Here is a 26,588-nt window from a genome sequence, read left to right on the forward strand (position 1 = left end):
AAGTTTCTACTTTGACTGACTTAAAGTGAGCAAGATAATAAGCTGTTTATTGATAATCTCAATGTGAACAAAAGGATACCCCAGTCAAGAACACAGACACAAAGGGGCTAGAAGAGGACAAAAATGATTAACCTATCTACAGTCCAAAAGTGAGGGATAAGTAGAACTAATCTATGCTTATAGAGTGGTGACCACTGCTGGGGAGGGGGACATGGAAAGTGTAGTGACTGCTGAAGCTCCAGACATGGTCATTTATTTTATGTATATTATACCCCAAAAGAAAGTTTAAAGAATAATTTACTATAGGAAATTTGTAAAAAAGAAATCTTAAGAAAATAACATCATATTTTCTGGAAGTAGCAATGTATATTTTTTTCAGTTTGAAGTTACACTGAACTTTTTAACTCTGTATTTAGAGAATAAACTAATTCGTATTTTAGATTTCCTTACTCTTTCTTCCAAATCCTATTTTAAATAAGCTTTTAAAAATTGTATGGTAGTGAGTGGGGAAGGGGAGGAAGGGGGAGGAAGCAAAAAAAAATGATATAGTAGGCATTGATGCTAATTTGCAACTCTAAATGCCTTTTATAAATCATGTTCTTCATTAAAAAAGAGAAAAAAATTATTATCTCTATTATCTGTTCCCTTCCCTACTTGAGAAACAAACAAACAAACAAAAAACTTGCCAAGGAAAAAAAGAAGCAGAGTCTTTTCTCTGACATTAGCATTATAACATGTTTACAGCACAACATCAGTTCTTTTCTGAAAATAGGTAAAATGCAAATGCATTAGGATGCTAAAGATTCAAGATATGACTACAATATGACCTTGGCAGACAAAGGTACAGAAAGGTAAACGAAGAAGCCACCATCCTGATCCCAGGATTATACCAATAATTCAGCAGTCAATGTGTTTTATCATATAGCCATGTTTCCGCACATAAATTATTCTAGCTCCAGTGCTGCTGTTGCCTATGCAATTGCTTTTAAAATAGAATGCATTCTTATGCTAAGTAAGTGTGCTTGCTGTGGTGCTGAATATCATTCTTATTCTGAGATTAGAATATTAAAAATAAATATTTGCAGCTCCTGTGATAATAAAAGAAACACAACATGAACTCCAGTGAAAATGTAAGACAAAAGAAGAGAAAACATTTAAATGCTGAACTTATAAAGAAGACAAAGAACAAAAGCAATTGCTTGACGTTATAAAACCCACTGGCTTAAAATAAATTGTTTGCTGAGTAGCAATTTTCTCATGGTTTTAAATGAAAAGTAAACCTATCCCTTTTTTCAAAAAATTAGATATATCCAGTCTTATGTAACAGCATAGAACTTTATTTTCTACTAATGCAAATAAATGTCCTTCACACCTAGCAGACCAGAAAATCACCAATGAAATCTTAGTTTAATTATTTTCCTGATAGCGACTTGGAATCGATACATCAACTAAATATCTTCTGCCAAGACTTAATCGCCATCACATTTGCTTGTTTTTATGTGGTTTCAAGCAATCAAAAGAGAGAGGAAGAAGAGGTAAAGAAATAAATTCATTCATATTGTAATGACAACTTTAAAAAATTACAGATTCAATTTGTTTCAAGAGGAACAAAGCAAGGAAAGGTAAATGAATTAAGAACACAAACCCGGGTATGTCTCATTTCTCTGGCATTCTTTTCCAGTGTTAAGAAAAACAGAATCAATCATCTTATCACACCTGGACTCCAACTTCACCTCCAAGATAAATAAAAGAGATGAGCATTGGTCCATGAATTCAGAATGCAATTATCTTCCTGATTTTGTCACCAGTTTGCTACGTGACCCTAGAAAGCTTACTTCCCTTTTCTTTGTATTATTTTATATCTTCAAAATAGAGATACTTTTATATTGTGCATGCCTTTTAAGAAGATATAGTGTGATCTCAGCCTGGTGTAGGTGGTTTTAGAAGTATCCCTTTTGTGTAGCTGGGGAATCACCTAATATGCTTTAAAGAAGAAGTGCATTCCATTAAGTTATTTATAATGCATATTTCCTCAAAAAATAGTATTGTGTTACTAAGTTTCATGAGGTAATCAAAGTTGCATTCCTATAAGGAAAAAATAAATTATCCAGAGGAGGCAACATTCAGATTCAGATTCTACTGAGATTTATTTGTTGAGCACTGAAAATATGCCTGGCAGTTGTTAGAAATTTTTACATACTTCATGAAAATTAATCTTTACAACAATCAGTCATGAACTTCATTTTTTTAACAACGATAATATCATTACTACCTTTTTTATTTTTAACAAATAAAGATGTTGGGGCTCAGAGTAGTTACGTGACTTGCCAAGGTGACAGATGCAAGGGACTATGCCAAGATTTAAAAGTGGGCTCATTTCTGTACATTTTCTATGCACTAACTCTTATTAAGAAAACAGGCACCCTCACAACAACCTCACAACAGACTTCCTGTTTTGAGAAGGCACCCAGCAGCTCTGGCTGGCAGCAGTTTCTTCATTTATTCAGCAGTCACATGTTTTTTTTTGAACGACGAGTCAGGTACTGCATTGGATACTGGCAATACAGCACAATCTCACCAATAGCAGTCTAACCAGCAGTCATGACTGTGATGGCTAAGTCCCAAAACAGAGGCATGTATGAGAGTCTATAGATGTGCAAAGAGGATTCTGCTAGGCCTGAGGGAACCATCCAGGAAGGCTGTGCAGAAGCTCCTTGAGGTTCCAGCAAAATAAATGCTTGCATTTCTCTGAAGTTCTCTAAGTTTGAAATTTTAGACTCTGGAAAATTAATTATGTCGCAGTGTATCAACTTATAATTTGTCATTAAGAAGTGAACTATATTACCATGCTCCAGAAGAGCTGGTCAAACGAACACAGGCAGGGTGGTGCCTGGAACACACTTCCTTACTGAAGCCTCCATTTTCTTTGGATAGCTGGTTCTTCTCCTCACAATGAAGGGCTGAGATCAGTGGACTTCACAGGTTTCTTTGAGTTGACAAATCCCCATAAATCTCTGTATGAGAAAGCTGATGCCTCTTTTCATGTCAATCAACATTCAATCTTATCAACGTCATCAATATCTTTATAATAATATTTCACCTACATTCAAATTAATAAGCTTTATTCACAATAAGATGGAATGATTACAGGTGTTAATTTGTAGAGTTGCTGATCTACCCTGAGTTCCTTTTGTGTCTGGCCCACTTCACAAATAGCACAAGCTTTCAAGCTACCATTCTTGTCTGCTTTCTCCCCAGGTTTCTCTTTAATACCTAAATACTGAGGAGCTTTAAAGGGATAGGTAAATAGATGAAGAGGTAACTGGGGAGAAGAATTAGGCATTTTAATTTGTGAGTTTTCATTCATAACAGCTAAGGCAACGTTTTTATGCAGGGTTCACAGCCCAGATTCTAGCCCAGAAAAGCGTACTTACAAGAACCAGAGATCACTGGAGTCTGGGAACCAAGAAGGAAATAATGACAGGCTGGTGTTAACAGAAAAAAATGAACTCTGTCAAATGTTTTAGAGGCTTACTCTGAGCCAATATGAGTAACTGTGACCCCAAGAAAAACACAAACCCAAGAAGCCTCGAGTAAGTGGTACTGAGGTGGTCACATCACCGTTTTGGTTTTACACATTTTAGGGAGGCTGGAGTTACACAAAGACCTAAATCAGTACATGGAAGGTATATATTGGTTCAGCTGGAAAAGGTGGGATATCTTGATGAGCAGGCTTACAGGTTATAAGTAGACTTAGAGATTCTTTAATTTGCAATTGGTTAAAGGAGTAAGGCTCTGTCTAAACTCTGACAGTCAGCAGAAAAGAATGCTTTGAGATAAGGATGCTATATGGCAAAACTGATGACCTGCAGGTGTGACCTAACCCTTGCCTAGCATGGCCTTAGGTCCTGTCTTTAATGTGGTGTCTTATTGCCACAAAAAGCCTATTTTATCCATCTCATGATCTCTGTTTTAACATTAATACTGGTCAGTTGTGCTTGACCTCCAAAAGGGCGGGGGTTTAATGAGGCATGTCCGGCCTCCCTTCCCTCCATGCCTAAGAATTCAGTTTTTTAGGTTTTCCTGGTGTTCCCTTGGCCAAAAAGAGGTCCATTTAGTTGGTGGGGTGATGGAAGTTTAGGATTTTATTTTTAGTTTACACCGGATATGAAATCTGAAGCTGTTTTGATTTTCAGGCTCTCAGAGCCTGATCCTTTTAGCCATTTAAAGAAAGAGCTTGGCAGACTGCTGATCAGATGTCTTGAGGGCTTTGCTTCACTCCGGGAATGATAGGATTCTAGTGAGCAAAGAAAAAGAAGAACTGAGCATGATAATTTTGCCTTAGAACCATGGTGTTTCTGACAGGATGCCGGAGTCAGAGCAGTATCTTAAGCTACCTTGGTGACACAGCTGAGGGAAAAGGGAAGAACAAGTCCCGGACTGTGCTCAGGGTGTCATAGATTTATAGCACAGGGAGTTGTGCAGATTCTCAAGTGAAATTTTTATAAAGTCTATTTATTTGAAGGAAATGTTGGCATGTATGGGGGAGTTAGCTGCAGGCATAGAGCTCTAGTGATCCCCCGGGTTAAACTGGTTGTTTGATTAGCGGTGGTCATCAGAAAGCTTGCAGGCCAGTTTGATTCTTAAAGAAGTCTTACCTGGTGCTGTAGGAAAATCTCAACATTCAGATAATACAAACACAGAAACATAGAATTTTTGTTTTAGTTATAATAGCATAAAGGTGATGTTTTAGCTGACTCTATGGAATCTGTTTGTAAAAGAACTAAATAGGGAACCAGAAGAAGGAGTAGAGAAAGAAGTGTAAGCCATGCTTCCCACAATGACTGTCTTATTCCCTTCTCAATTCCGGGTGTGAAGGTCAGGGCCAGGTGTTTCACAAGGGTGCACTCAGGGCACAGGTGTTGACTGGGGAACAGAGGCAGGGATAGTGAAAGAGGGAAAAGGAAGAAAGGAGGGAGAAGGAACGGAGAAGAGGGAAAGGGAGGAAGGAAGAGATAGAGGGAGAGAAGAAAAGACAGGAAAGGGAGGGAGGGGGAGACAGGGAGGGAGAGTGCACAGAAGAAGGGGAGGAAAGAAGAGAGGGAGTGGGTAGATGGCATGGAGGAAGGACAGAGGAAAGAAAGAGAGGAAGGGATAAAAGGAAAGGGGGAAGAACAGGAAGGTACAGGGGATGGAGGAAGTTGAGGGATGAGGAAGGAGAGAGGAAGAGGGACAGGAGGAAGGGAACAGAGGAAAAAGGGGAAGGATGGAGGGAGAGAGGATGCCTTTATCAACTTCTTTAAAGATGCTTATTTAATCTCTATTAATCCCCCCAAAATGCAATGCATTGGTACCTTGGAGACATTTATTTAGAAATTAGGTATAGACCGACAAATCAGTTTACCCTAACCAGAGTCAAGGCAGAGTGAAGCAAGGTTCTCAGCCCCTCACAGCCTTCCTGCCAAAGCCAGACCCCAAAAAGCTGTCTGCCTTGCTAAAGTACATTGCTAACTAGGACAGCTGTGGTGGAGAATGAGGGCAGAACTGATCTCAATTACTAAAGTGTAACATCGTAATTAGATTTTTATATATTTCTAGTTGTTTATGTGCTTGTAATCATTTACCCAAGTAACTTTTTACATATACTATTCTATGCCCTTGCTTTTTTTTTTTACCTAATATTATCACTGAGGATATTAGTTCACTTAATAATATAACCGGTGATAGGTATTTCTAATCTGCACTGTGTACTGTATTTTTATCACATACATTTCAACAACTGTGAATATCAGCTCTTGTTCCATTGTCCCAAATCCTTGGGGTTAGATGTAATACAGTATTCACAATTTTCCAAATTTTAGAAAGATGATGATAAAATTCCTAGAAAGATACGGGGATACACTTCTTATTTAACTGCTACTGCTATTTCTGCAATGTAACAAATGAATATTTACATTGGCTGGGATGAATAAAGACTTTACAAAGCCTCATGTCAACACAGAGCAGCTTTCAGCATCAAATAAGTCTGCTGCAAGTCATTTTAAAACTTCAATGTTTCAGAGCATTTGAATTTTTGAAGTGCCTACATGGTGTTGTAGATCTGTATCACACTACATGGAATCACATGATTTATTATCTATTCCCCAATAGATGGACATGGGTTGTTTTACGGTTTTGTTATTAAAAATAGCACTACAATGAACATTCTTGGAAATGAATCTTTGGAAAATATGACTGTATCCCTAGAGTGACTACTCAGAAGCATAATTACTGGGTCAATTGTATGTGACTTTATATTTGAATAAATATTGCCACATTTCCCTCCAAAGAAGTTGCACCAATTTCTTCCTCTCACAAGCATTCTAGGAAAGGGCCTCCTTCCCTGTACTCCTGCATTCATTGCTAGGGCTTCCATAACAAAATACCATAAACCGTTGGTTAAACTGAAATTTATTTTATTACAACTTGAGAATCTGGAAGTACAAAGTCAGGGTGTCAGCAGGGATGGTTCCTTCTGAGGCTGTGAGGAAGAATCTGCTCCCGGCCTCTCTCCCCACTTCAACAGCTTCAGGCATTTCTTGGCTTGTAGAGCCCTGTCCTCTCCATGTCATCACTTGTCTTTCCTCTGTATGTGTCTGTTTCTGTGTCAAAATGACCTCTTTTTATAAGGATGCAGTTGTATTAGGGCCCACTCTAATGACCTCATCTTAACTTGCTCTGCAGGGTTCCTATTTCCAAATATGGTCATAGTGACAGATACTTGAAGGGACAGGAGACTCAATTCAACCCATAACATTTTCCAACAGTGACTGTTATTCAGTTTTTCCAATGTGATAGGTAGAAAATGGTAACTCTCAATTTCCATTTGTATTTATTTAATTCAGTTGGATTTGAGGATTCTGTCTTAATTTTATTAACTTTTTATTTTGAAATGAATACAAACTCACAGGAAATTGGAAAAATGCACACATTGAGTCCCATAAACCTTTCAGCCAGCATCCTCCAAAAATGACATTGTATGTGACTACAATATAATATCAAAACCAGGAACCTGACATTGCTGTAATGCTGTTAACTAGACTACAGATCCCATTTAGTTTTTACCAGTTTTTACATGCACTCCATTGTACATGTAATAGGGGCAGGTCAGCGTTCCCTGCAATGCGATTGTGTGTATAACCACCACCACAGTCACCACAGTCAAGGTACAGAGAAGCACAAAGCAATTTTCTCATACCATCATTCACAGTGCCATCCACCACCCACCCCATCCCTCCCCCAAGCCTTCATCTCTCCAGTTCCAGCATTTGAAAGACATTCCATAATGGTATCATATGGTACCTTTAGAAATCAACTGTTTTTTCATTTTTTTTTTTTTTTTTGAAGACAGAGTCTTGCGCTGTCACCCAGGCTGGAGCACAGTGGTGTGATCTCAGCTCACTGCAACCTCCGCCTCCTGGGTTCAAGCGATTCTCCTGCCTCAGCTTCCCCAGTAGCTGGAATTACAGGCAAGCCCCACCATGCCCGGCTAATTTTTGTATTTTTAGTGAAAACAGGGTTTCATCATGTTAGCCAGGCTGGTCTCAAGCTCCTGACCTCAGGTGATCCACTTGCCTCAGCCTCCCAAAGTGCTGGGATTATAGGTGTGAGCCACCGTGACTGGCCAGAAAGCAGCTTCGTTCACTCAGCATAATGAATGCCCTTATATGGCTGTTGCATGTATGAGTCATTTATTCCCTTATATTGCTGATTAATATTTCATTTAATTATTTTTGATAGCATTATCTTTATATTTATATACATATACTTGTAAATTGCTTGTGCATGTCTTTGCCAGTTAAAAAAAAAAGTTATTATCTTTTGTTACTGCTCTTGGTTGCTTTATTTTTTTCATTTAGAACTTTATTATATGAAATTTATCAATCATTAATTTTTTAGTTTCTTGGTTTTCTGATACAGAAAGGACTGTCATCCAAAACTTAAAATTTGAACATTTGAATCTCTCTAGAATTGTTTTGTGTCTGTTTAAAGAGTGAGGTAGGGATTGGCTACTCCTTGGGTCTTCAATATGTATTTCTTGGGGCATATGCTGTGCAAACTTTTGGTCCAATATGAATATACACATGGATGCTTGCACAGGCAGTGCACCTGCTTGGCAGGAATGTGGGTTGTGAGTTTTGCTTAATTATGACATCAAACTCATTCAGCTGCTAAATATCATCTTCTGATTTCTGGGAAAATTGTCCAGGATTTCCAATCTAGGTGAAAGATGGGAGTTCAGGCAGGTGTAGCTAGACCTTGGGAAAGTGTATAAAATGTTAACATGCAAAATACAAGGTGTAGGATTGCAAGATGATGCAAATGTATGAGTTTCTAGCTAGATTGCCAAGGTCAATACACCTAAATCTAGAATAGAATTTTTTTAGCAGAAATTTCTAACCCTGTGACTAGTGATGTGGGTAGGGTAAAGTACAGGGTGTGAGGTCAATGGAGCTTCCACAGTGGTGTGTAGGCAGGCTCCCAGGGGTTAGGGCTATAATTCCACCTGCAGACACAGTGACTGGTCTGTCATGGTACTTATGCAGGGCATGGCTTGAAGCACCTTCAACACTAGGAATGTCCCAGTAATAGTCAGTAGATTAGGCTCCAATCCTCATTTGGCATTGGTAGCAAGTGTTTGGTGATTTTCCTCTATCCTGTTTTTCTGTTAGCCACATCATCTTTTCATGCTCAAGATATATTCTTATAGGGAAGTTGCCAGCACACATAAACACCAATAACAGGGAGAGAAACCATGAAGGGGCGTTGCAAAAGCCACATACCATACAAGGAATGGCTGATTTCCTCCCACAGATAATCCTTGAAGATCCTGAAAGACTCACGGGCCTCACAGTTGGAAAGACATCCAGGTTCTATCTATGTGAATCCTCACCTAATGTGTGCATTTCCTCCTTAGCATCTGTATCAGTGTAGCCTGACAGAATCAACATGGCTTTGAAGTCCAGTTGTCCTGGCTGCTCATCTCCGCTCCACAATTCACTATTATATGACCTTGACTAAATTATTTAAATTTCTTCTGTCATAAAATGGGGAGAATAAAATTATATGCTTCAAAATTTTCTTAAGCAGATTTGATTAGATAACTTAGGGAACGTGCTTAGCATAGTGGCAGGCACATGGTACTAAATGTCAGCTGTCATCACTGTTACCTCCAGTGTGGGACAGTTTTTTTCTCCTGAGGTCACCCTAATAACTTAGAGGCAAACTGCAGTCCAGGTTTACAAATTCACCGCCATCTGCTGTTGCATCCACAGTGCTGTATTAATCTCCTGAAGGGTCCATTTACCTTGTTTCTTTCTTTACAGTATTAACTGAACCCACTATTTCAGAAACATGTATTACTTACAGCCTGCTCCAGGCAAAACTAGCAGGTAAAATGGGCAATCTGAAAAGCTCTTTCCTAATACACTATTAGGGGGTGATAATGGCTTAAAGCTTCTGCCTTCCTGCTTTACAAAGTGCCCTCTATTCCTTCTCCTAAAGGAGTGACTAACAAGGGAATTCCTGTCCAAGAGAGGCTGTATGGGAAGAAGGGGTTTTTCTTTCCATTCCCATCACATCACACAGGCATCTGCATTGCTATAAAGGACATCTGCTGTGTTTGCCTACCTAGCTTTCCGTTTCAATTTTAAGCGACTAGAACTCATCTTTTCCCTTTAGGAACAATTCCTTCCTAGACTGGTGGGACCATGAAGCTCAGGCACCTCTCCTAGCCAACCAGAATTTCCCTCAACTGAGAACCAGGCCAGTGGAGGTGCAGGACCCAAGAGGAATCCTTCCTCATGTATCCATATGAACTCAGAAATGGGGAAGGTGTCTCAAGCTGGTCATGAACCCAAAGATCAGGTATGCCTGAGGATCATCTTTGCCATCACCTGTAGAGCAAGGCAGAGATGGGAGATGGAGTGAGTGAGAAACGTATTTTTTATGACATCTTTTAAGCAATCTAGAGACAGCCATGTCTGAAGGGAGTCATGGGCTATTCCGTTGCCCAACCCGGTAACATCTTGCCTCACCCACCTACCTGTCTTATTTTTCTCCTTTAACTGGCTTTAAGGGGATTGTTGTTATAAGCAACTGAAAGTGTTCTAATGAATACAGATGGATACAAGTGGATCTCTATTATAGAAGTGACAAGTTATAAAAATCTATTACCACTGTTGAACAGAGAACTCACAACATAAGCTATATTCTTTATAAGTCAGTAGCATAAGAAAGTAAAACAGACCTTATCATGTCTATCTACTGTGCACAAACCCTTTGATAGTTCCATTTGCTTTCTTTTAAAAGCCTACAATCCTCTGTAAATCAGACTATGGCTTCAATTCCTACATTAGTTATTCCCCAAATGTCCACTCAGTTTTATGTAGTTCCACCTTCCTGATGTTCCATGTGTCTGTAATGTCACTTCCTGATTTTTGTTTATTTAAAATTTAAGAGCTTGGGTTCTGGTATCCCAGAGCCTAAATTTTACAACTTACCTGTTCATTGCCATAGAGCAAGTGGTCCAAACTATCTAATCTTTAATTTTTTTAATAAAATAATTTGGAAAATTATAGTAACTGCCACATAGTATTGTTGTAAGATTTAAATGAAATAATAAATTAAAATTTTTGGCCCATAGTAAGTTCTCAGTGATCACTAGCTATTGCTGTAGTTACGACTGTATCTCTTCAGTATGAAACACATAGCCTTCATGTGATAGTATCTGTATTAATAATTATTGAATTAATAAAAAATGTCCTTAGTGTTAGAAAAATTCTTCAACGTATATTCTTCTCCACTGCATGGAAAATTACTTCTTGTACAGAGATATAACAATAATGGTTCAGACAGTGAGCGGACTGTGGAGTCAGACAAAGATTTCAAGGTTGGCTCTGCCATTTTTTACCTCTGGGAACTGGGCAAATAATTCGTCCACTGGGAGCCCCAGTTTCCTCACCTATGCTTGTGAATAATGAGGATACATACTCTTAATGTTCCTGAGAAGATTAAATAAGACAATTTAACAAGTTAGTTATTTGAGACAATAACCTCTCCCTCCCTCTCTTCAGTGTGTGATGTCTAGCACACTGCTTGGTATAGTAATCACTGGGTAAATAGGTAGTATTAATATTCTTTTAAAAATTGTCTTCTGATTGTTTTTTGGCCCACAAAGAGCAAGAAAAAGACAAAAATAAAATCACTAAGACAAGTTCAACTTGTCGATGAGTATCAGTATGTTTCTAATGCCAAAACTGTTTTTCTTGGTTTACATGGAATAGAAAAATAGAGTAGCAGAATTGCTACCAACAGTCATTGAAAAGATCAACTATTTTCCATGGCTGCTTAAAGTCACTGCTATCCACTTTTCACTGGAGGGCTTTCCAAAAAATTGTTCCCTGACATCGACATCTCTACTTTGCTTCTTTGCAGCTATACAAATCACATCAAAGCTTAAGTTACTTTAAATCTTGATGACAACCCCCCACCCCTCCTCAGGTGCTTCATCTGTGCTTAGTTATGCGGAGAATCACCTAGGCTCAGTATTTCTGTTGCATCAATAGCACAACAAGGTCAAGATGAATTAAGCCATCCATTCAAGCACACAGCCAGAGTAACATAAATTCCTCTGTTAAGAAAGGACAAATGTTCGATGTTGCTGATAGTCAATTAGGCATGCAGTTCCTGTGAAAAACTCATTACAGGTATTAGGGCTGGGAAATGATAGGGAAGAATGGTTCACACCATCTTTAAAAGGCCCAGGCCACGTACTTAATTTTTGAAGGAGTTCCTGCTGAACAACTAAGATGACTGTACCTGGGAAAATTCGCCTATTCTCTAACAACTTTCTTTCATTTATAGGATACTATACTTTTTATGTTTCAAATCTGAAGTGCATTAAAAGTGGATAAACTCCGGAAGCAAGCAGTCCATGAGACCCCATGAGATCTAGTGCTTAGCACAGTTTTCGGCTGGGTGAATAGTTCTGGGGATGATGATGTCGATGCGGGCGTTCATTGGTTTCTTCTAAGAAGCCCAGATACTACAGACAAATCTGATGAGTGCAATTCTATTTCCATAAATGTCTGACCCAATGCAGCCAAATTAAGCAACATGGATAATTTGGAGATGTATTAAATGATAATACAATATTGGAAAATTAAAATCAAATCATTTCAAATTTTTGAAATTTCAGATTTGTGGAAGTTTATAAAGTTGTAATAAATGACAAAGATTTAATGTAGTAATTAAGAACATGAGTTCTTTAGTCATATTGCTTGGGTTTGAAATTCTGCTTTACCACTTTCTAGCTGTGTGAATTATTTATCCTCCCATGCCTCAGTTTCCTATTTTCTAAAATGAGATAGTATCTCTTTATAACAATATTGTGAATATTAACTATATATGTAAGGTATCTAGTAGCTGACACTTAGTAAGTGTTCAATAAATGTTAGCCTTTGTTATTTTGAATTAAGAATTTAATGCACAATGCCTGATTACTACGGAAAACTCGGTTATTCTGCATTCTTGAGGTGAGATGAAGTGCTATTACACACTGCCCATGTGATGCCATTAAAATGTGATTAAAGATGCCGCAGATTGGCCTACGTGATCCTACGACAATAGATTTTCAGAGGATTATCAAATATAAATGAATATTTTATGCTCTCTATTTATGACATCATTACCCATGTTAATCAAGAAAAGCCTTTATGCCCCTCCTGGTTTCCCATTAGCCAATAAATCTTCAACCTCTGTGGAAGTGATTAGAACAAAGAGAACTGTGGGCAATGTGTTTTATTCCTTCCATAGACACTGAAAAACATTGAATGGGAGCATTTTAGAAGGAATCGGTGCATTCACTATTGTTTGCACTCCTTGTGAATGGCTTGTAAAAGCTTTTCTTGGTGCTCACCTAGTTTGTATGTCTTCCCATTGTCATTCTCCTTGTCTGGCCTGTCTGCATTAACATAAAATGATGGATCTCTCTTAACTCTAAGCTAAACTTCAAAGCTCATTACTATGTATGGGGTCTGATTTCACTCCAATTTAGCATTAGTAGTCTGACTTGTAGACTTTCTAAATGAATAACAACATTTTAAATGGCCATTTGTTTGCTATGTGCTAGTCCTTCCATTTTCATGTATCTGCCAACTTCCCTTACCAGCTGGTAACAAAGGACTAGCTCCCACATTTGCATCATGAAAGAAGTCTGTAATAGCCTGTCTCTGCCCTCTCCAAGTTAGCAGCAACACACCTATAGAAGCCAATGTTAAGGATATTCTACTACCCTCTGATCCCGTGTTTAGGCTACTGGAGAGCAGGAGATAATAGGGTCATGAGTGACCTTGGAAATGATCTAATATAGTGAGATCCTTGTCAACGTTTTCTTTCACTTTTAAGAAAACAGCCCTGCTGTCTATTTGGAAAATACAGGAGATGAGGTGTGGCTTAATCGTTGAATAAAAACCAGTCAATGTCAATGTACAATTTCTGTTCTCAGGAGATCTCTTTAGAGCCAGCAAGGGATTTGGAGAAAGGACGGCAGAGAGAGGATTTCATGCAGTGCAGCTTTCAGCATCACTCTTTATTTTTGTCACTCTGGGTGGAAGAGCTTCCAGATTCAATGCCTGCCATCAGTCTTCTTTTTGAAATGAAATTTCACATAGAAGGAGAAAAACATTTTTTTAAATCAAAAGTAAGGAGATAAAAGCAACCAAATGCTATTAGGAGACAAACTGGTTTCCAAAAAAAAGTCGGTTTGCAGGTTTGAAGCTGGGAACTGTCATTGCAATGGATGGGGTGTGTGAACAGAATGTCTTTGCCACATATTTTAATTGAACATTTTTGAAACAGAAACAAATGTCAAAAAACAAAAACAAAAGTAAAAGCAAAAAAGAAGTATCTTATAACTCTGTGGCAAAGTATTCTAGTTCTGAGGTTGTTAAAACAGCTTCCTGGAGTTACCCTTCTCTCAAATCTTTTCTTCCCATCAAATGAGAAACAAAACAAAACAAAAATAAGAGAACTGGATAAAGAACTCCCAGGGTCTTGAGGCAAACACCTAAGTCTTCAATCCTTTCAATCCGCTTTCCCAGCTCTTCAGTTACTGAGTCCCCCTCTTCAGTCAGCTGCATTATTCATTTCTTCTTTTATACTCCATATACAAGGGTCTTTATTCTTGTTTCCTTCTATCATTACGATAAAAAAAACTTTGTTATTATTCTCTTAACAACAAAACATCTGCTTTCAGGGTAGCCAAAGACAAAAATGATGAGTTCTACCTTCTGCATTTTGTTATGTGATGAAACACAGAATTCCTCTAAGTCTATAAATTGCATTTCAAGCGACAGAAGAGTTTCACAGAGAGATAGAAAAGGTGCTGAGCAGTTTGCAGAGGGGTCCCAGTTGTCTCTATGCTGCAACTGTCTCTGTGTTTACCTACAGTGCCACTCTGGGGACCTGCCTTTAACAGTCTGTCTTAGGATCCTGTGTAGGGGTGTGGCAGGTCAGGTCTCACTAATGCAGGGCTTCATAACAACTGTTTCAGTACTGACTGGGTGATTAAGTTAAATATTAAAAGCTAAAAGAGCCAGTGACTTTATACAAAGGCTATAATGTAACAAAAGCCCACCAAGAGTTTTGCGAAGGCCTTTCCTGGGCCTTAAAGCATGACAAATAACAAAGGAATACTTAACAGGACCCATTTAGGATTAAACAAGTTTTGGCTGGGCATGGTGGCTCAAGCCTGTAATCCAGCACTTTGGGAGGCCAAGGCGGGTAGATCACGAGGTCAGGAGATCGAGACCATCCTGGCTAACACGGTGAAATCTTGTCTCTATTAAAAATACAAAAAATTAGCCAGGCATGGTGGCACATGCCTGTAGTCCCAGCTACTCAGGAGGCTGAGGCAGGAGAATCACTTGAACCTGGGAGGCAGATGTTTCAGTGAGCCGAGATTGCAACACTGCACTCCAACCTGGGCGACAGAGACTCTGTCTCAAAAAAGAAAAAAAAAAGTTTTGGGGGTCTGAAGAAACTCCCCAGGCCTCCACAAACAAGTTTATTAGGGGTCTAAAGGAACTCCCCAAACCTCCATGATTTAGCAGGAGAAAAGATAAGGGTAATCACGCTCGCACCTGGACCCACTTAGATTAAGTAAATTTACTGAGACTCCAGAAGAAGGTCTTCAGGGCTCAGACCTTAGTTATAGATTAAAAGACATTAATCACTTATGTCTTTATAGATGAATGCACACTTACATATAGACATATAGCTTAGAAGACATATAAGGTCTGGAAAACTTTGTAATTTTGAGTTGATCTGGTGATAATTTCCAGGTCTTCTCCCTGTAACTGGTTGTAGAAATAAACTCTCTTCCTCCCCAGTTCATCTGTATCTCATTATTGGGCCACAAGAAATAGCAGCTTGACCCTCAGTTTGGTCCAGGAAAGGGGGGAACTCTTCACATGATCTTTGCATGACAAGGAAACTCAGAAAAAACGAATGAGAGATAGGCTTTATCACAGGCATTTGTAATATTATTAATCTTCAGTGTCAGTGACAGATTAAGGACCTGCTGCAGTGTGATAGGATTCTGAGCACAGTAAATGCTTTCAGATTAGATGAGGCATCCTTAACTAGAAGGCTATGAAGAATGGAGAAGAGAGACCACGTTCTTGGTACCATGAAGTACTCTCAAAGAAACATCTAAACATCTCAACCTGTCGGGACATAACCCAGCCAGTTTACAAATGAAACTGAAGAGAAATGAAATGAAAGGAGAGGAAAAAACAAAACCACCAGATCTGCAGATTGCCAGGGGGCTGTCTCGGGTTTACTGCTCTGAGATCACATTCTCCTACCCTGAGCAAGAGCAACAGACATTGTCCTGGAAGCCTGGCAGAGGATGCCTGCTATTTTAGAGATGTTTTTAGTAAAACATCTATACTTTTCCTTCCTATTCTTCTATATCTAGTTTAATTTTTCATTAAACATCTCTCAAAAATTGGATATTGTCAGTAGTCCTCGTGCACTTTGACATACTCTAAGACTTTGGGAACCTCTAGGAATTGGGAGGAAGACAAACCTGGTTTAATAAGCTAGGGTAAATCTAAGCATTTCTTACTTCTTTGTCTTCTGCAGAGATGTCATTGACTTAGTGACAATGGCTGTTCCGTGCAGAAAAGACAAAGGCTTTTAGAGGTTCTCATTTTCCTTGGCAAGACATTGCTTTGTGTAAAGAAATCAAAGCCCTCTTAATCCCAGGCTTCAGTGAGTTTCTCTAAAAACAAAAATAAACTAATGGAATAAATGTCTAACATAGCATAAGAGAATCTGCCATTCTTTCAGCATTTTAACTCCTCTTACTGCCTTGCAAGCAGAGCTGTGTGAAAGACCTAGAAAGAGAGATCTCTGTTAGCAAAAGTGTTGGTGTTTCCTACGTAACATTCAGAGATTAGGAGATTTTAGTAAGAACTCTGGGAGCCAGAGGCAGGAATCACAGGCAAGAAATAACTCCCTCCTCTCTCTGAGGGGGAGTGATGTGGGTCTAGTTAAGTGCTATTTACAAATTGTGAAGTGTGTAGGAACTCACCACCCCCAATTTCCCATATTAATATCTTGCTAATGCAAGTGCAGTGCATTTATTACAATTTTTGAGCCAATATTTATGCATAATTATCTACTAAAAGTCTGTAATTTACATTGGGTTTCACTCTTAAGGAAGTACATTCTATGGGGTTTTAACAAAGTTTGATGCTGTGTATCCACCATTACAATTTCATACAAAGTCGTTTCATAGCCCAAAAATTTCTCTCTGCTCTGCTGACTCATTCCCCCCCACTTTAATCCCTGGTAATCACTGATATTTTTACTATATCCTAGTTTTTCCTTTTTCAAAATGTCACATAGTTGGCATATTACAGTATGTAACCTTTTCAGATTGGCTTATTTCACTTATTAATATGTGTTTATGTTTCCTCCATGTCATTTCATAGCGTTATAAGTCTCATTTCTTTTAATATTCCACTGTATAGATGTACCACAGTTTATCTATTTTCCTACTGAAGCACAACTTGGTTACTTCCAAGTTTTGGCATTTGTGACTAAAGATGCTATAAACATTCGTGTAGAGGTTTTGTGTGGATATACATTTTCAACTCATTTGGGTAAATGCCAAAGTGTGTGATTGCTGGCTTGTACGGTAAGAATATGTTTAGTTTTGTAAGAAACTGCCAAGCTTCTCACAATGTGGCTGAACCACTTTGCATTTCAGACACTTAAATAGGTATGGTGTAGTATCTCATTGTTGTTTTAACTTGCAATTCTCTAATAGCATATGTTGTTGAGCATCTTTTCATATGCTTTTTGCCACCTGTATACTTTATTTGATGAAGTGTCTTTTCAGATTTTTTTTTTTTGCCAATTTTTAATTGGGTTGTTTGCTTTTGTACTGTTGAGCTTTAAGAGTTCTTTGTATATTCTGAATTTGGGTTTGTTTTTATCAGAGAAGTCTTTTGCAAATATTTTCTCCTGTTCTGTGAATTGTCTTTTTATTCTCTTAAGTGCATTTTGCAGAGAAGGATTTTTAAAAAAAAAATTTAATGAGGTCCAATTTATCCATTTTCTATTTCATAGATCCTGCTTTCTCAGTGTGGTATCTTAAAAGTCATTTTCAAACTCAAGGTCATCTATATTTTCTATTATCTTCTAGCAGTTTCATAGTTTTATATTTTACATTGGTGTCTATTACCTACTTTGAGTTGATGTTTGTGAAAGGTCTGTGTTTAGATTTATATTTTTGCTTGTGGATATCCAGTTGTTTCAGCACCCTCTGTTAGAAAGACATTGAATTGCCTTTCCTCTTTCATCCAAGATCTGTTGGTTATATTTGGTGGACTATATGTGGGCTCTCTGTTCTGTTGTGTTGATCTATCTGTCTGTTATATTGATCTATCTGTCTGTTGTATTGATCTATCTGTCTGTTGTTTCACAAATACCACATTGTTTTGATTACTATAGCTTTATAGGAAGTTTTTATTTTGGTGAATTTCAGTACTCTGACTTTGATCTTTTTTCCATCTTGTATTGGCTTTTCTGGGTCTTTCGCCTCTCCATATAAACTTTAGAATCAGTTTGTTGATATCCACAAAGTAACTTGCTGAGATTTTGATTGGGATTGCATTGAATCTATAGAGCAAGTTGGGAAAAAATGAGATCTTAACAGTATTGAATTACCCTTTCCATATATGTAGAATATTTCTATATTTATTTAGATCTTCTTTAATTTTTTTATCAGAATTTTATAGTTTTCCTCATAAAGACTTTGTACTTATTTTGTTAGCTTTATACCTAAGCATTTCATTTTTTGATTCTAATATAAATGATATTGTGTATTTAATTTCAAATTCCAGATTTTCATTGCTGATATATAAGAAAGCAACTGACTTTTGTCAATTAACCATTTACCAAGAAACAGGCTTTTTATGCTGTATTTAGCACCTTACAGGCCAGTTATTTGCTGTTCTTACATCTGCCCTGCCTCATCCCTTGGCCTCACAATGAAATATGCACCGTTATCCTGAGTTGCTGCCTCCCTGTCACAGATACCAATACCTAGGTTATAAAGCTAACTTAGAGACTTTGGGCCCAAGACTGCAGTGGCGAGCCAGAAGCTTATGCTTGACAAGCCTAGTCGTGTGAGTATAGATGAATATCAGCATTTATTACAGGAAGTTTGCCAACTGCTAAGCTGATTATAGTGGTGATAGTGAATAAATATGTGAGTGTGTGTGTGTTAATGTGTGGAGTGGTAAGTTATGAGTGGATGGATTGCCTTCCACTTCAGCTCTGTATCATTTCTTTGAAGCAGTTTTGTGTTTGTTTGTTTGTTTTTGTTTTGTTTTTTGAGACGGAGTCTCACTCTGTCTCCAGGCTGGAGTGCAGTGGCTTGATCTCGGCTCACTGTAAACTCCACCTCCCGGATTCAAGAGATTCTCCTGCCTCAGCCTCCCAAGTAGCTGGGACTACAGGAGCACACCACATGCCCAGCTAATGTTTTTGTATTTTTAGTAGAGATGGGGTTTCACCATGTTGGCCAGGATGGTCTCGATCTCCTGACCTCATGATCCACCCGCCTTGGCCTCCCAAAGTGCTGGGATTACAAGCGTAAGCCACCGTACCTGGCCCTTTGAAGCAATATTTTAAGGTGTTTTTGGAGCAGCTTACATTAAAACCATGCCCACATGCTTAAGAAGAACATTAAAGTATATCAAGGCATGAAAAACTGCAGCTCCTGGTGGTCACTAGAGCCCTTGACTGTGTTTTCTCTTTCAGCCACAGTAAAGCAGTCCCTAGATTAGAAATGGCACTAAATAAGATTGGAAAAGGTCAGAAAGTATGTTCCCTTTGGATTTCAGCACTCTCAGTCTTTATCTTGTGTAATAGATACCCATTAATACATGCTTTTTCTGAGCTTTCTCCAGCATAAGCTCCTCTTGGGTCAGAAAAGTTAACCTCATTCAGTGTCAGGGACTGACACTGATATAAGTATAAGTCAGTATAAGTCAGGCTGCTCTGATATAAATATCTCCCTATTAATGCCTTAGTGGTTCCATCCCACAAAATGAAGCTTTAATGTAAAATCATATCCTGTGGCATACAACATATGTCATTTTAGAATTATTGGCTATTTAGGCTTATCAAGAATCTTGTAGTTTCTCAATCCCCTCATAGAAGTAAACACCTACTTTGTCCCCCCAGTGGCAAAGCCATTCCTGCTACTTAGTCATTAGGAACAGAATAAAATGACCTGAGAGCTTTATTCATCAACAAGTTGCAGTATAGTGTTCCCTGAAGAATGAATCAAATTCAGTTTTGCTTTTTGAGGTAAGCCATTCAAGAATGGCTGCATCATTACAAAACATCTTTGCAGAGACTACTGGGGCAATATAATTTTCCTTTGATTACTTTAAAAGAGCACATCTGAACATTTACTTCAAGTTCTTAAATACAATCCCCTTTTGCCAATAATTGAAAACAACACTTTAAGAAGCAGAATATCAGAATCTTCCAGCTTGAATATGGAAAGTGGTGCAAACATCATGTAAGACATACCATTTGTGGAGTATATAATGATCATATTAACTAACAACATAAACAAACACTATGAGAACATTGACAGCAACACAATGCAAAGAATTGCATGAATTGATTTAGTACTATTGTACTAATACCCTTTGGAAATATATATAGCTATTTAGATTTCACAGTAAGTTTGGTATTATGATAAAAGATAATCCTAAAACACCAATTTGTATTATTAGCAGCATTCATTATTATTCAGTACACTGGGTAAATTTCATTGTGCACTGCAGTGATTATCAAGAAGCTGTATGGCTACATGCCATTTGTCATATTTAAACCTAATTTTAGACTGCTCAGTCCACTATTTTTGGTAATATCAAGAGGGTAATAATTACCTATTTCTTTACAGTATATAGAAATAAGAAACAGGAGCTTTATATCAAATGCAAAACTTCAGTCTACATCAAAATCTGCCACAAGCCTAAATTAAGGACAAACAAAATTTAACAAAAAATGATACACCTAAAGGAATGGACTGCTTCCTATATATTTATCTTATCCATTTAATAAAGGAATGAAAGAGTTACTATTTGTTATTCAAGCACCCCAAAAGGGCAATGGCTATAGACAGAAATAGCAACCGTGTTAGTGCCACAACACCTAAACCATTTTGCCCATCTCTGGGAAAGTATTACCATTACTGAATAGCTCTTTCCCTGAAGAGTAAACTGCATAAAGAAGGTTAGAAATGGCTTGTAAGAGCTCATTCCTCCTTCTCCTTTTACTCCCTTCCTAAGAGACTAAGGGATAACTATCAGTCAACAGGTGTCACTGGGGTGTTGAATTAGAGAAGGCGAGCAAAAGGGCTCTGATACAGAGGCAGACTTTTTGATTTTTCACCTTATAGGCATCTTAGACAGTATCTTAGATGACTTTCTCATTTTGAAGATCAGGGAATGAAGATGTGGGATCTGAGTTGCTTATTGAGACTGGGTCACTGGTCTTTTAATGCAAAGTCCAGAGTTCTCACCACACAGGCAGCTAAGGAAAGGGTTTAATTTTCTCAGGATCCTTGATAACTTTAGTAAATAATCAATTCTCCGTATTCCATTGTATGCAATGGTTAGGAGTATTGCATATTCTGCCCATGGGTAGATAGAATGTTCCCATGGGCTTGGGGCTCTGTGGGCAATTGCAAGGAGGGCTGGCGTAAGCGCTGAGCCAGAATCGGGCCTTCTTTCTTCTTTCTTGAGTGTACTTAGTGCTGCTGCAGGCTCACTCTAACCATTTGCCTAATGGTATTCCTGGACATCCATGTGAGGCTTGACCTCACTCCCACTCAAGGACAGTCATCTTGACACTGTTTTTCTCCACTTTCTGTGATTATATAGATGGCAGCTTCCAACTTGAGAATTAGGGCTATGCTAGAAAACCTGTGATTTCCATTGCCCCAGTAAGCTCAAGCCTATTTCTATTTCTAGGGCTATATTAACCATGTCACATACACTTTCCCATGGTTACCTTAAGGCTACATTTCCCACAATATTTTCTGACAACTATTTCATGCTCTGTGGGAATAGAAAAAAAAATGCCATTATTAAATGAGTTTGGGCAGCCTGTGTATTCTACCTCCTGCTTTCAGCTGCACCTTCCAGGCCCTAAGAACTCCTGTAGGAAATAACCAAGTTTATCTCAGCATTTGCCAGACATAGATGACAGTGTGAGACCTTTCTTCATGTAACACTAACAACATCCCCTGGACTGCTGAACTGTGGGGCAAAGTGTCTTCCATAGCTATAAGGTTTGCACTAAACATTCTGAAGCCTCTGCGTACCAAACCTTCAACTCCTAATTTCATAAATTTTCTGCTAAGCCAAGAACAAGAGAGACTTCCCACCTTTCCTGAACTGGTAAATAGACAAGCTTGCTGTGTTTTCACCTTTATTTTAAAGGATGCTTGCTAGAAGTGCATGAGACATCAATTTTGGGGACAGAAATGTCCTATCCAGAGTATGCAGCACCACCCCACCACCAGCCACTCTTCCATGAGACTGGTGTCCTAGTGAATATCCCATCCTCCACCCCAAGAAGAGGCCTACATGGAAGGATGGATGATTTAATACCAGGGACACCCTAAGGAACACAGGCCGGGCTGCTGGTGTTTTTATACCACGCAGGGTTAAATACCGGCTGCTACTACCTCTACTGAACCAGGGCTGACTCTAGAAAGAGATGCATTTGGGGGCTTTATCATAATCTCCCATGGTGAAAATATAGGGAAAATGTCTGCCAAGTGTTTTCAAAGCAGTGTTTTTACTAAGTATGTTTCAGTGACACTTTGTAAAAGAAAAGAGGTAACCGTGAACAGTGCTCCACCTCATTAGTATTGAAATGTCAGCCCAGCCCAGCCCAGCCACGGTCTCTTGCCTAGAGATGGGCTTGACCCAGACACTGTATAATGCTGCCACTGGCCTCCTATGGAGAAGTAACTCATTCTTCATTGCCAGGTACAGAGATACTTATTTTTAGGCAATTTTTTGGTTAAATGTTTTCTGTTTCAGGATGCCTGTTCATTTGAATGGCAAAGGGTTTGCATAATCCCCAGAACTTTTGGCAGCCACCTTTGTGTGAAGCACCGACAATGTTTATAATTTTAAGGGGTTGCATACCCTGTGCCAAGTCACCTGATCAATTCTCTCGAAAAACAGACTTAAGGGACCACGTTCTTTGAAAATGGATGTTTGTATATGGTGGGGAAAATGTTGGGCAAGGTTTCAGCTCAGGCCACTTGCCTTTTAAATGAAGTGTGACTTTAGTGTCAGAAATGACGCAAAGCAATATGATATGGAATAACAGAAAGTCACCTGCTTCCCTGTGCTGCCCTTTGAGAGAGCTCTTAGCTTTCTGAAATAGAGGCAAATAGCCAAATTCAAATTTGATCTACTATTTCTTCTCTTTTCCAGGTTCAGTTTAGATATATTACAAGCCTCAATTTGGACTGGCATCAAGGCAAAAGAGCAGTGGCTTGGCAAACATTAATAAGTCATTTCTATGCTTTCCACTGATATTTCTGAAGAATTTGGCAATCAGAGTTTTGAGTTGTTCTTTAAGGAAACTCTGTGAGGTAGTAGAGATAGCATTAATAGGCAATGATTTGAAGGATTTATGCATTTTCCACTGTTCTAAGCCATTTGGGTGAGTTATCTAATCACAACCCTATGATATAGATACTATGAAAAAGTTGAAGTTGAGAGAGATTATGTAATGTTCCAAAGATTGATAGCTAGATCGGGTGTGGTGGCTCACGCCTGTAATCCCAGCACTTTGGGAGGCCAAGGAGGGTGGATCATGAGGTCAAGAGATCAAGACCATCCTGGCCAACATGATGAAACCCCGTCTCTACTAAAAATACAAAAATTAGCTGGGAGTGGTGGTGGGCACCTGTAGTCCCAGCTACTCAGGAGGCTGAGGCAGGAGAATGGCTTAAACCCGGGAGGCGGAAGTTGCAGTGAGCCAAGATCATGCCACCGCACTCCAGCCTGGTGACAGAGCAAGACTGTGTCAAAAAAAAAAAAAAAAAAAAGGCCAGACACGGTGGCTCATGCCTGTAATCCCAACACTTTGGGAGGCCGAGGCAGGTGGGTCACAAGGTCAGGAGATTGAGACCATCCTGGCTAACAAGGTGAAACTCCGTCTCTACTAAAAATACAAAAAAAATTAGCTGAATATGGTGGCGGGCGCCTGTAGTCCCAGCTACTGGGGAGGCTGAGGCAGGAGAATGGTGTGAACCCAGGAGGCGGAGCTTGCAGTAAGCCGAAATTGCACCACTGCACTCCAGCCTGGGCGAATGAGTAAGACTCCAAAAAAAAAAAAAAAAAAAAAGGATTGATAGTTATTGCTGTCTCATAAACTCTCAGCTAGGTTGTTCTCCCATTCTTGGCTGGGCTCTTTCATGCATCTATGGTCATCTGAGGGTCAAACCGGCATCTCTGCTGAACCTGGTCATGCTTTCTTCCATATTTGGGGTTGATGGGCTCTTAGGTGGCCGTGGCGGCAACATGTGGACTCTCCATGTGGACAGTCATTCTCAAGCCAGCTAGCCTGGCACTGTCCATGAAAAGGAGGCAGATGAAAGGCAAACTGCCTTTTGAGATCTAGTCTTAGAGCTGGAAAATGATTCTGTCACATTTTTTTGACCAAGGCAAGTCACAAAGCCAGGACAGATTCAAAGAATGGAAAACAGACTTTACCTCTTGATAGGACCATATACAAAGTTATAGAAGATGATTATGGGCAAAAACAACAACAACAACAAAAAAAAACAGCCTAAGTGGGATATACTCATATATCTAATACCTAGTTTTTACAATTAATATTTTACTATATTTGCTTTATCACTTATCTATCTGTCTCCTATTCATTCAGCAATCATCTTTTTTTAAAAAAAATAGATTTTGAAATAAGCTGCAGACCTCATTAACTAGATCAATATCTGACTTGGTTATTTTTTATTCTTTTGAAATAAAATTTACCATGAGATGCACAATTCATGAGTGTACTATTTGAAGAGTCTCAACAAATGCATACAACTATACAACCCAAACTCCTATTAAGATACAGGATCATCAGTCATCCCCCAGTTTTTTCTCTTGCCATCTTCTGAGATAGGAGGTCGGGTTCAGTCACTGGACCAAATTGAGAACTAGCTAAAACAGGTTCAAGGTGAAAGTAGATTTTCATAAGACACACTCACCAATGTGCCATGTCAGTTTACCATTGCCATGGCAACATCCAGAAGTTACCACCCCTTTCCATGGCAATGACCTGACAATCTAGAAGTTACCGTGCTTTTCTGGAAATTTCTGCATAATACACCTGATAATTTTCATGTAATTAAAAGTGGGTATAAATTTGACTGCAGAACTGCCTCTGAGCTGCTACTTTGGGTACACTGCTTATGGGGCAGCCCTGCTCTGCAAGGAGAAGTACCTCTGCTGCTGCTGTGCAATGCCACTTCGATAAAAGTTGCTGTCTAATACCTCCAGCTCACCCTTGAATTCTTTCCTGGGTGAGGCCAAGAACCCTCCCAGGCTATGCCCTAATTTTGGGATTCACCTGCCCTGCCTCACTTCCACTAAATCCCTGGTCCTACAACCAAAGGGCAACCACTGTTGTGATTTTTCTTTTTTTTAAACGTGGAGTAGTCTTGCCTGTTCTAATAAATGGAATTGAAATGGGAAAAGTTCCCTTATCCCCCTCACAGGGCGTGCAATGAGGGAGTGGCTCGCTTCTTTGGTGCTCCACAGCTCAAACCCCTAGGGGGAGCATGCAGATGGGCAGGTTGTGGGGTACATGGGCTCTGACCCCATGGCAGCATCTAGGTTTGAGTGTTTATAGCTCCTGAAGCCCCACTGGGCGTATGTAACAGGGTGTTCTTTCAGCTTAGCCATCTGCAGGCAGCTTGTGTTAATTGGCTCAGTTAGAGCTTCTGCCTTGTCACAATGACAGAGGGCTTTCGGTATACTGAGGTTCTTGCTCTAGTGTTCCAGAAAAATCGAATCATGGGCTTAGAGAATGAGTGCAAGGTTTTGTTGAATGGTGGAGGTAGCTATCAGCAGATGGATGGGGAGCCATTAGGGACATGGAGTGGGAAGGTGGTCTTCCCTTGGAGTTGGGCTGCTTAGAGGCTGGGCTCTCCTCTGCTCACCTTCAGCCGAATTTCCCTTGGCGTCTGCGTCGTTCTGTCATTAATGGCCTGTCAGCGTCTGTGTGTTCTTCTGCCAGTGTATTCCTCTCAAAGTCTAGCCATTTGTGTGTGTGCCCATTGGGGTCTTAGGGTTTTTATAAGCACAGGATGTGGCAGGCCAGGGCTGTCTTGGAAAATGCAACATTTGGGAGTGAAAACAAATGCCTGTCCTCACTTATGTCCATAGGCACAGACCTGAGTGTGGAGCCCTAGCCAGTGACCCTGCCCTTCTCTACCCAGCTCTTCCCCGTCCCCCTCCTGTATCAGAATCATACAGTATAATGATACGGTAAATACTCTTGTGAAAAGCTTCTTTCAGCATAATGTTTTGAGATCCATCCACATTGTTTCATGTATCAACAATTTGCTCATTTTCATTGATAAGTAATATTCCATTTTATGTATACTCTCCAGTTTGTGTACTATCCTCTTCCTGGATGTATGTGCTGTTTCCAGCTTTTGGCTATTTATACGACAAACTACACATATTTAGTGTAACATTGGATGAGTTTTGACACACGTGTATACAAATAAGCCTGTCACTAGGATCAAGATAAAGAACATATGCATCATACCAAGAACTTATAATTTTTATTTTATTTCTTTTTGATTTTTCAGAGACAGGGTTTCACTCTGTCACCCAGGCTGCAGTGCAGTGGTAAGATTATAGCTCACTGCAGTCTCAAAGTCCTGGGATCAAGTGATCCTCCCA

The 26,588-nt window shown here is 39.2% G+C and overlaps 1 long non-coding RNA gene across 1 annotated transcript in view, besides 2 other annotated features; it reads right to left on the bottom strand.

The window, feature by feature from the left end:
- The window catches only part of LINC01885 (long intergenic non-protein coding RNA 1885), a 159,884-nt gene that overhangs the window by 106,931 nt on the left and 26,365 nt on the right, over window positions 1-26,588 (bottom strand). The window lies entirely within an intron of this gene.
- Window positions 12,546-13,280: an enhancer, noted in NCBI's record as "OCT4-NANOG-H3K27ac hESC enhancer chr2:108118620-108119354 (GRCh37/hg19 assembly coordinates)". NCBI's record gives its function as "activates a minimal SCP1, AML or CMV promoter by ChIP-STARR-seq in naive H9 embryonic stem cells {active_cell/tissue: H9 hESC(naive)}" and the evidence as "EXISTENCE:reporter gene assay evidence [ECO:0000049][PMID:30033119]".
- Window positions 13,281-14,014: an enhancer, noted in NCBI's record as "OCT4-NANOG-H3K27ac hESC enhancer chr2:108119355-108120088 (GRCh37/hg19 assembly coordinates)". NCBI's record gives its function as "activates a minimal SCP1, AML or CMV promoter by ChIP-STARR-seq in primed H9 embryonic stem cells {active_cell/tissue: H9 hESC(primed)}" and the evidence as "EXISTENCE:reporter gene assay evidence [ECO:0000049][PMID:30033119]".

This window comes from Homo sapiens, chromosome 2 (genome assembly GCF_000001405.40).
Source record: "Homo sapiens chromosome 2, GRCh38.p14 Primary Assembly".
NCBI classification, from domain to species: Eukaryota; Metazoa; Chordata; class Mammalia; order Primates; family Hominidae; genus Homo; species Homo sapiens.